This window comes from Homo sapiens, chromosome 1 (assembly GCF_000001405.40).
Source record: "Homo sapiens chromosome 1, GRCh38.p14 Primary Assembly".
In the NCBI taxonomy this organism is placed as follows: Eukaryota; Metazoa; Chordata; class Mammalia; order Primates; family Hominidae; genus Homo; species Homo sapiens.
In genome coordinates this window covers 79,244,384-79,255,997 of record NC_000001.11, presented here as the reverse complement: position 1 = coordinate 79,255,997, position 11,614 = coordinate 79,244,384, and positions in this window count along the sequence as shown.

The following is an 11,614-nucleotide window of genomic DNA, read 5'->3' as shown; positions in this document are numbered from 1 at the left end:
CCAAATTTATCAGCTACGTCACTTTAGGCAAATACCTTAGCCTCTCTGATCTTCAATTTTCTTATTTGTAAGATGGTAAAAACAAAATCTTTCCACAGGCATGATGTGGCTATTTTACTTAACTGTCCTATAACATCTGCTCAAAAGATTGTATTATCTCTATTATATAGGAACTGTGGTGTTGTTATTTAGCAAAATGCATTGTGTATAACATCTAGTGGCCAACCAAATGCTACTGTCTTTTCAGTTTTACATTTAACAGCACTTGACATACTATTTGCTTAAGCTAAACAAAATAGTTGTGTATTTATTAGTGAAAGGGACATGTTCAGAGAAATGTGTCCTTAGGTGACTTTGTCATTGTGCAAACACCATAGGGTGTACTTACACAAACATAGATAATATAGCCTATTACATGCCTAGGCTATAAGGTATAGCCTATTGCTCCTAGGCTACAAACCTGTAGAGCAAGTTACTATATTGAATATCGTAGGCCATTGTAAATCACGGTAAGTATTTTTCCATCTAATAATATTTAAATATAGACAAGGAACATGGAGCTATAATCTTATGGATCTTTGTCCCATATGTGGTCTATCATTGACCATAATGTCCTTATGCAATGCCTGACTGCAAAACGTTCTATTCAAGATAGCATGAATTTACTTTACAGCATCAAACTCAAGCTCTAAATTGTATTTTAAATGTCTCAAAAGCCAGTTTCCACATGAGTCACCACTTTTACTCATTTGGATTTGGCTCTGTTAAATTAAAATCAGAATACAACCATGTAAACTAGTCTGCAAATTGCATGAACATAGTCATTCTTAATCGCAAAATATTATTTATTCTATGAGCTGTGGCCCTTCTTACTGTTTCCAAAGTAAGTGAGAAAAACAGGGTTTATACCATATATGAATGCCAAATTATGCATGCAAAATCTTTTCTTTCTTTTGTTATTATAAAAGAGAATAGACTACAAAAATGCATATCTAGTAACTAAATGTCCAATTTGTTTTTATTATTACAGAAATGTGCACATAAACTAATTTTGCAGGTGGGCTAATTGCACCTGTTTTTCAAATTACAGTCCTTAGTGAACCGTCTTTTCCAGAAATATGTTCAGTCATAAATATGTAGACTTTGTGTCAATTGCAAGACAACTAGCCGTGTACTACACAAATGTTATAGCACAAGGATCAACTCTCCTGCATATGTATTGAATATATGCAAGTAGTCCATCAGGGTTTAACCACCGTGAGGAAATAATAGTCTGTTCAGAAAAAAAAAAAAATCTTTACTAATGTGCTTTTTTTGTTGTTGTTCCCTTGCTGTCACTAAGAATTCCACAGAAATCAGATGAATAAGAAAAATTAATAATTATTATAATTTCTAGCCTTCAGATACCTAGATTCCTTAAGCCATAGAATTAAACTCTGGGCCGGGCGCGGTGGCTCACGCCTGTAATCCCAGCACTTTGGGAGGCCGAGGCGGGCGGATCACGAGGTCAGGAGATCGAGACCATCCCGGCTAAAACGGTGAAACCCCGTCTCTACTAAAAATACAAAAAATTAGCCGGGCGTAGTGGCGGGCGCCTGTAGTCCCAGCTACTTGGGAGGCTGAGGCAGGAGAATGGCGTGAACCCGGGAGGCGGAGCTTGCAGTGAGCCGAGATCCCGCCACTGCACTCCAGCCTGGGCGACAGAGCGAGACTCCGTCTCAAAAAAAAAAAAAAAAAAAGGAATTAAACTCTGTTAAATTCTGCTTTACTTTCTGTCCCACTGCTTTATTTTTTATAGGTGAGGAGACAGGCCTAGAAAGATTGAGTGATTTTTCCTACATCACACAAATTAATTAGTGACTCAGGTACACCCAGCTCTCTGGAAATTTAACCCAGTGTTTTGTTTGTTTTGTTTTTGTTTTTTTTTGTGTGTGTTATATTGTCTTATATTTACAAGAGTAGATTCACCTGGCAAGAAGTTTGGCTGTAAATTTGTTTTTCTTTAATGAGATAGGATTTTTTAATTGATAATAAATTTTTATATTCCTCCTCAGAAATTTAATTCTTTGGATGTGCTCTTGCATGCTGTTTTTTCAATGTATTTTTAGAAATGTGTGTCACTTAATTCCTGTTAAATTTTCTATAACAGATGGTATAGATATTTGATTTATGCACTTGTCTTCATGTGGTCTGCTATTAGCTTTTTTTTTTTAATATAAGGACTTTTTTGTTGTTCATCATTGAAACTTTATCTTTCTACTACATGCAATATTATTTCTGGAGAGAAAAAATGTAAGAGAAATTTTTATGTTATTGAAATTGAGCACAATTTGGTGATTAATTGCATTGTTCTCATTAATGTCTCTGCCTGATGTTCAGGGCTTATCACCACAGTGTGAATTCAATGGAACTGGAATCTTAACCAGGTGTGGGTTATTAAAGCGGCAGTGCCCAATTTGAAATTGTTTAAGGAGGTGTATCAAAGTTGATATGCTTAACTATGTTCTTCTTCTGGAAAGAAAAGCAGTGCTTGTTCAGGAAAATCACTCACATCCATCATGTGACAAAAGGACTCAAAGCTCTTCTTCCCTTGGGTAAAGCAAGAGGGAACTGTATCTGTGGTGTATTAGCAGCTTCAAAACTGATGCAACAATACAGTTTATTAAAAAACTTTTTTTTGTATTTGTAAAATCATTTATTTCTTACCTCTTATCAAGGAGTTGTTTTCCTTCACTAAGAAAATGAAAAGTGTAGGCTGAAAGAATTCATGAGGTAGATACTAGTCTCTAAAGATGATAAGTTTAATCCAGTCACTAAAAAATATTCTTAAAATGTTATTCAATCTACACTAGCTTAAAAATGAGCTATCTTTTTCAGAAAGATGATAGTATGCTCAGAAATCAATTGTGAGTGAAGTTTCATTAAATTCTTCGTATCTTTAGATAGTTCTACCTTAACAAAGTCAAGGGTAGGTTTAACTTGGGAATTCACAAAATACAAATATCTGCCAGTTCAAGTTTAGAGCAATCCTCATAACTACCTGGTGGCAATTTCTGGATCTTAAAGTTAGATCAACAATAAGTTTGATACAAATCAGAAAATCAAAATAGATGGACATAAATTGAGAGTCTGGGGGAAAAATACTACCTTGCATGGAGTTTAGCGGTTTATAAAGCAATGAATGATCCAGTCTTTCGCAATCTCTGTTTAAGCCAGCAACAATGGCTCCCGTGGTACACAAAAATTAACTCAAGTTCAAAGAGAAGAAATTTATTTCCCCAAATCTTACATCTATTAAACTGTGGAACTTGATTTGGAACCCTTCTTTTCTTAATTTTTCCACTTGTTTCTGCAGGAACTGTTCATAAGTGGCTAAAGCAATTTTGTGCAAAGATATATAATTATTTGAGTGTGTAATTGGTATATTTGCCATTTTATGTCTCTTACGTGTGTACTGAAAAACAGCGAAGAGTTCAATTATATTTTTTTCTGTGACTTCTTAGCAATTGTAGAATGGTAAAGGGAAGCATGGAATGGCTCTGTATTATTAAAAAAGACCCAGGGAGGAAAAATAAAGCTGAACCAGAACAAGGCTTGGAAATGCTTCAGTTTCTATTTTATTTTATTAATGTTTGTGTAAATTAACTTGTTCCTACTGTTGATTATACAAATTCATGTAAATCAACAGTCAGGAATTTCTATTTTTAAAAAAGAATAATACTGATAGGTAGAAAAGAAATCAGATTTCTATTGGCCTGAGATTAAATGGGTTCATGTCACAGTAGACTGTCTCAACAGTCACAATAAAGAAGGAATAAGATGTGTAAGAATAACAAATAATGGTGAAGAAGGGGAGCTACTGAGAGGAAATCTGACTTGAAATTTTAAGGATATGTCATTAAAATCACCCCAAGCAGTTGTTGAGGAACTACATTGTGCATAGCAGAATAATATTAGTCGTATCATATGATCTTTATATATATTTAATTCTGAAAAGCTTGAATATTATCCATTTCATATGGCTGAGATTCACAGAGCAGTAGTAGAGGCCATGTATCTGAGGCTTTGGTTATCTGAGCCTGTGCAAATATGAATGCATATCCTAGTTCTATGCTTGGTAAACTATGGAAGAAGGGTAATTTATTTAACTCTTGCACCTTAGTTGATTTGTCTATAAAATGAAGTTCTTGGGATACCATAAGTGACATTACATATGTTAAACATTTGGCACCATATCTGGCAGATATCAACAACTTAATAAATGCTAATTATTATTATTGTAAATCCAATATACTAAAATTCTATAGAGCAGTTGAGAGAAGAAGAAGTATATATAATTCAGAATCATCAAGGGCTGAATTGGGTACCTGATAGGATTTGGCTCCATGTCCCTACCGAAATCTCATCTTCAATTGTAACCCAAATTATAATCCCCGTGTGTTGGGGAAGGGACCTTGTGGGAGGTGATTGAATCATGGAGACAGTTTTCCCATGCTTTTCTCGTGATAGTGAGTGAGTTCTCACAAGATCTGATGGTTTTATAAATGGCAGTTTTTCCTGCACTCACTCATTCTCTCCTGCCACCATGTGAGAAGGTACAAGCTTGCTTCTCTTGACTTCCACCATGATTCTAAGTTTCCTGAGGCCTCTCCAGCCATGTGGAACTGTGAGTCAATTAAACCTATTTCCTTTATAAATTACCCAGTCTTGGGTGTTGCTTTATAGCAGTGAAAACAGACTAATAGAGTAACTGTCATTACAACTACAGAGAAAAGAGTTAAGAGACAAAATGTACTGGGAGGAAGAAGAGTTGGAAGCCAGGGTGCCTTTATTAGAGATGGCTGTATGCCAAACTTGGTCCTTAAAAGATCTATAGGATCTGGAGTAGGCCTGGAGTAGATTACTTCAATTAATGCAACAGTAGAAATAGGGATATTGCTTTTGACAGCTGATAAATCCGCTGTCTAAAGAGCTGTGCAAATAAATATAGCTAATAGTGTACTTTGAACACAAACTTTGTGCCAAGCACTATTCTAAGTGCTTTGTAACTATCACATCAAATATTTGTAGTAATCTCCTGAGGTAGATACTAATATTATCCCCAATTTATAAATTAAAAAATGAAGTACGAAGAAGGTACATAAATTGCCTAATGTGCACTCAACTAGCAAGTGGGAAAACTGGGAAAGACCCCAGAGTTCATGCTCTTAATCAAGAAAAATCTATACGGTCTCTTGTGTTTCTGTGATCCAAAGCTACTTTCTGTGGCAAGCAGGGAATGTTTAGTTATTTAGTTAAATAATATTCTTATGTCTAAGTGGATTAATAGCCCTTAGCAACAGATAGTTGAGTGTCAACTATCTAAAAATTCCAATTTTATCACATTGTCTTGATTTTTAAAACAATAAATATAGCATTTGTGCAGTTAAAATTTGAATGAATCTATAAAAGAAAAAAATTGAAAGCATTCATAAAAATCTTATAAACACTATCATGGCATAAACGTCTGCAGATGACAAATCATATTTATATTTTCTTACCATAAAATCATAACTATATGAAAACTTAGATGATAAAATTTAGCTTTGTCTGAAAACAGATTTCACATTTTGGATAAATCTATCTGATTCACCATTCCATCCCAATTTGTAATAACTTCTGTTTCATTTATTTTATGTAGAAAACCTAGATTAAAATGATAGTTAAAATAGAAAAGGTTGTTCAATACAGGAAACCTGAAAAGTTCTATTGAATTCTCAAATAACTCCTCATTTTCCAGATGCAATTTATTCAATTTACCCTCATTATCCTCACTTTATCTGCACAACAAGAGGTCTTTAGGCCATCTTATGGTCCTATGGATATTAGCACTTCTAATAGGGGTTGGATATAAAGTGAGGGAAGGTGAAATTTAAATCAGCCCATTTTGCCGCTGCTTTATTAATTTCAAAGTGGATCCTTTGGGACAGAAAATTAGCACCTCTAATGGAAGTGTGATTTACTTTTGATGTAACCTATCCAGTTTTTGCGCTTTCTTCATTCAGCTATATCAAAAAGAGATTACTTGGTCCAATGCACCTCATACCAGCCTACTTCTGGGCATGCTCCAAGAAACATTATGTGCTTAATAAATGGATCTGTGCTTTCCAGTCTTATATTCAGTTATACACAAAGCTCCTATTTGCAAATGACTTACCTAACTTCAAGTCATTAGCTATTTCTGCCTAGATTACATGTGACAATTTTTTTTTGCCTTTTGATTTAGTCTCATTTCATTTTTTTTTTTTTTTTTGCTTCACATTACTCAACATTCCCCAGAGTCCCCAATCCTCTCCCACTGCCATGTCTTTGCACATTCTGCTTTCTTTGCATTGCCCTATTCTCCAGTTCTCAGCCTGGCATATACTCACGAATATGCCAAATGTCTGCTCAATAATACCTTTTCTAAATAGCCAGAATACTGACTGTTCTCTGTGTTCCCATAGGAGTCCACTGATACTATTTATTATTTATTATGTTTATTCATCTTTCTCATTAGACCACGAGTTCCTTGAAAGCTTAAAATGCTTTGTTGTGATAGCTCAGGTTCTGGCACATAGTAAAGACCCACAACAAGTTTTGTAAATAATAGTTAATATAGCTACCTAGTCTTGCTTAGATTTACCTTTTACCTCTCTCTCTTATCAACACATAATATGTTCCATATTTATGGGGTACATATGAGTGTATGTTTATTATTTAGAATAGAATGTGTAATGATCAGGTCATGGTATTTGTGGTGTCCATTGCCTTGGGAATGTATGATTTCTACGTGTTGATATCATTGCAAGTCTTCTTTTCCATTTACTTTGAAATATACAAAGTATTGTTGCTAAATATAGTCACCCTAGTATGCTATCAAATATTAGAACTTATTTTTTCTATCAAACTATATATTTTTACCCATTAACCAACCTCTTTTCGTCTTCCTCTCCGATCTACCCACACTTCCCAGTATCTGGTATCATTGTACTCTCTATGTCCGTAAGATCAAGTTTTTTTATCTACCAATATGAGTGAGAACATGCAGCATCTGTCTTTTTGTGCCTGGCTTATTTCACTTAAGATAATGACTTCGCCAATGTATAGTAAATAGTGATGGTGATAGTGACAACTTTGTTTTGTTCCTGACATTAGTGAAGATGCCTCCTGAGTTTCTTATGTAGACAGAGCAACGGATCAATGGGGAAAAAAGAATCCAAAAATAGAACCATACTTACATGTTTGATTGATATTTTGACAAAAGGTCTAAGATAATTCAACGGGAAATGGAAAATCTTCCTCTCAAATTGTGTTGAAACAAGGAGATAAACATAAGAAAAAATAAAGCATGATCCTTTTCTCAAACCACACATGAAAATTAATTTGAGATTGACACTTAAATGTAAAGGAGAAAATGTTAAAGTTTATAGTAGGAAAGATAGGGCAATATCTCCAGGTTTTACAAAAATGTTTTTTAGCATATACAATGGACAAAACATAAGACAAATAATAATGTATAAATTGGGCTCTATTAAATAGACTTCTCCCTAAAAGGTAGCATTAAGAATACGAAAGGCAAGCCATAGACTGTGAGAAAATATTTGTAATGCATATATACCTGACCAAGAATGTGTCTACAGAATATATTTAAAAAGATTCCTACATGACTATAATAAAGTGACAAATAAATTACTGGAAGCCTTGAACAGACACTGTACAAAAAAGCCTAATAAACAAATGGCTAAAAAGAATATGAAAAATTGTTCAATCTCATCTGTCATCAGAAAAAAGCAAATCAAAACTACAGTGACATACTGCTTTACATGCACCAGAATAACTAAAATTTAAACTGTCAACAACAAATGTTGTCAAGCATGAGGAACAATTGGAACTCTCACACATTGCTGGTGCAGTGAAAAATGTTAGAGCCACTTTGGAAAACCGACAACGTCTTATAAAGTCCACCATGCACATACCCTATGGCCCATCAATTTTACAGCTGGGTATTTACCCCAAAGAAATGAAAATACCTATACACAAAAAGCTTGTTTATCTTGGTTTCATTCATAGTAACCCTAACCTAAAATATTAAAATTTCTATCAACTGGACAATATATTAAGCAAATTGTATACTCATACAGAAAACTTAGCAGTAATAAATACTGATGAACTTGGACAAACCATATAAATGAGAACAATTATTGATATGGGAAGGGGTGTAAGGGAACTTTTTGGGATGATAGAAATGTTTTAATATATTTATTAGGATGTTGATTGCATGGTTGTGTATAGTTGTTCAAACTCATTAAGATGTTCTTTTAACATACTTGTATTTCACCATATGTAAATTTTACCTCAATGTAATTTTGTCTCAATATAAATCATAAACAAAATGTTGTATACATTGGAACCCTTGTACAGTGTGGTTGGAAATAAAATGATTCAGCTGCCATGGAAAGGGTTTGGAGGTTCCTTATAAAGTTAAGCACAGAATCATCATATGACCTGGTAAATCAACTCCTAGGTTTATACCCAAATTGTTGAAGGTAAGCACCCACACCAAACACCTTCACATGTGTGTTAATGCAGTGCTATTCACCATAGACAAAAAACAGTCCAAACATCCATCAACAGATGAATGTGTTGACAAATTACGGTATATACATGCAATGGAATATTATTCAGCTGTAAAAAGGAATGACGTACTGAAACATACTACACATTGATACACCTCAAAAATATGCTCAGTGAAAGAATTCAGACACTAAAGGTAATATATTGCATGATTTCTTTTATATGAAATATCTGTAATAGGTAAATTCATAGAGAAAGGTGCAGATTGGTGGTCGGAAGGGGCTGAGGATAGAGTGAAATGAGGAAAAACTGCTTAAAGGGTATAGGGTTTTATGTTGGATTTAAATAAATATTTTATAACTAGGCAGAGATGGTGATTGCACAACATTGTGAATGTAATAAATGCCATGGAATTGTTCACTTTAGAATAATTAATTTTATATTAGGTACATTTCATTTCAATAAGTTTTTAAATAAGCAATAGGCATCAATTTCATATTGCATTGTCTAATTAAAATTTCCAAATAATAGTAGTGAATGTCTAAAAGCTTGATGCGTAGAGTCCTTTTAATTGAGATGTTTATACCATTTACAATTAATTTATATGGTTAGCATTAAATTTCTTATTTGCCTTATGTTTCTGCTTCCTCTTTTTCTGTACTCTGCTTCCTTTGTTTTAATTACCTTTTATGATTTCATTTTATTTTCTCTTTTGGCAGCTTAGCCAAAACATTTTTATATAAGTGCTTGTTCAAGAGTTTGTAGACTACAGCTTTAACCTAACAGCCTACTTTCAAGTGATATTTTCCCACTTCATCCAGAGTATAAGAACCTTATAATAGGTGACTTCCATTTCTCTGCTACTGACCTTCATGCTGTTGCTTTCATTTATTTGACTTTTATGTTCTTATAAACTCCATACTACATTGTTATTGTTTTTGTTTAGTCAATTGTCTTTTACAGAGATATAAACAATAAGGAAAAGTACTCTGTATATTTACCTACGTCATTATCATTTCTAGTTCTCTTCTTTGTATGGGTTTGTGTTTCCATGCGGTATCATTTTCCTATTTTCCTTTTGTCTGAAGACTTTCTTTAACATTTCTTGTAGTGCAGGTATGCTGGTGATACTTTTTTTTTTTTTTCAGTTTTTGTATGTCTAAAAAGTTTGTATTTTGTCCTTATCTTTTGAACACACTTTCTGGCCAGTCATGGTGGCTCACACCTGTAATCCCAGGACTTTGGGAGGCCAAGGCTGACAGAGCACTTGAGGCCAGGAGTTTGAGACCAGCCTGGCCAATATGGCAAAACCTTTTCTCTATTAAAAATACAAAAATTAGCTGCGCATGGTGGCACATGCCTGTAATCCCAGCTAATCAGGAGGCTGAGGCAGGAGAATCTCTTGAGCCTGGGAGGTGGAAGTTACAGTGAGCAGAGATCACATCACTGCACTCCAGCCTGGGCGACAGAGTGAGACTGTCTCAAAAACAAACAAACAAAACAAAACAAAACAAACATACTTTCCTAGGTAAAAAAAAAAAAAATGCTAGGTTAATGTTATGGACTGTATGTATGCGTCCCTGAAAATTCATACATTGAAAATTTAACCCCTAATGGAGTCGTATTAGAAGGTAGAGGCAATTAGGTAATTAGTTTTAGATGAGGTCAGGAGAATGGAGTCCCCATGATAAGATTAGCGTCCTTATAAGAAGAGAAAAAGACTAGAGTTGTTTGTTTGTGTGTGTGTGTGTGTGTGTGTGTGTGTGTGCACCAAATAAAGCAGGTAAAGCCATGGGAGGACATAACCAAGAAGAGGGTCCTCACTAAAACCTGACCCTGATGACACCCTCCAGAACTGTCAGAAATAAATTTATGTTTTTAAGCTACATAGTTTGTATTAGTTCATTCTCTCACTGCTATAAAGAATTGCCCAAGACTGGGTAGTTTAATAATGAAAAGAGATTTAATTGACTCACAGTTCTGCATGGCTGGGGAGGCCTCAAGGAACTTACAATTATGGCAGAAGGCAAAGGAGAAGCAAGCACCTTCTTCACAAGGCACGGAGAGAGAGTGCAAAGGAGAAACTGCCAAACACTTATAAAAGCATCAGATCTCATGAGAACTCATTCACTATCATTAGAACAGCCTGAGGGAAAGTGATCCCATGATCCAATCACCTCCCACCAGGTTCATCCCTCAACACCTGGGGATTACAATTCAAGATGAGATTTGGGTGGGGACACAAAGCCAATCCATATCACAGTTTATAATATCCTGTCTTAGCAGTTGGAACTAAGACAGTTGATAATTTTCCCCCATTGGTACATTAAAAAATAATATTTCATTGTTTTCTCATCTGCATTGTTTTCAACAGAAATCTTTCCTCCTTATTTTTGTTCCTCTGCATATAATGAGTTTCTTTTTCTTTTCACTTTTAAGATTTTTCTGTTTATCATTGGTTCTAATAAATTTTACTTAATTTTATGTAAATTTTCTGACAAGTTTTTATGCTTCTTGGTGTAGTTTTATTCATGTCCTGGGGTTATTGAGTTTATTAGGCCTCTGAGTTTATGATTTTCATCCAATTAGGAAATTTTGGGGAAAATATTAATTCACACTTTTTGCTCCTTTCCTTTTTCTTTTTGGGGGGCTCTAAATACACAAATAAAAGGCCACTTGAATCTTTCCTACAGTTCACAATGCCCTGTGCATTTTAAAATTGTTTCATTCTGTAATTCCAGCACACTGGGAGGCCAAGGCAGACAGGTCACTTGAGGTCAGGAGTTTGTGACCAGCCTGGCCAACATGGTAAAACCTGGTCTCTACAAAAAATACAAAAATTAGCCAGGAGTATGGTGCATGCCCATAATCCGGGCTACTTGGGAGGTTGAGGCAGGAGAATCACATGAACTCAGGAGGCGGAGGTTGCAGTGGGCTGAGATTGCACCACTGCACTCCAGCCTCGGCTACAGAGAAAACTCCATGTCAAAAAAAAATTGTTTTATTCTCTGTGTATTAC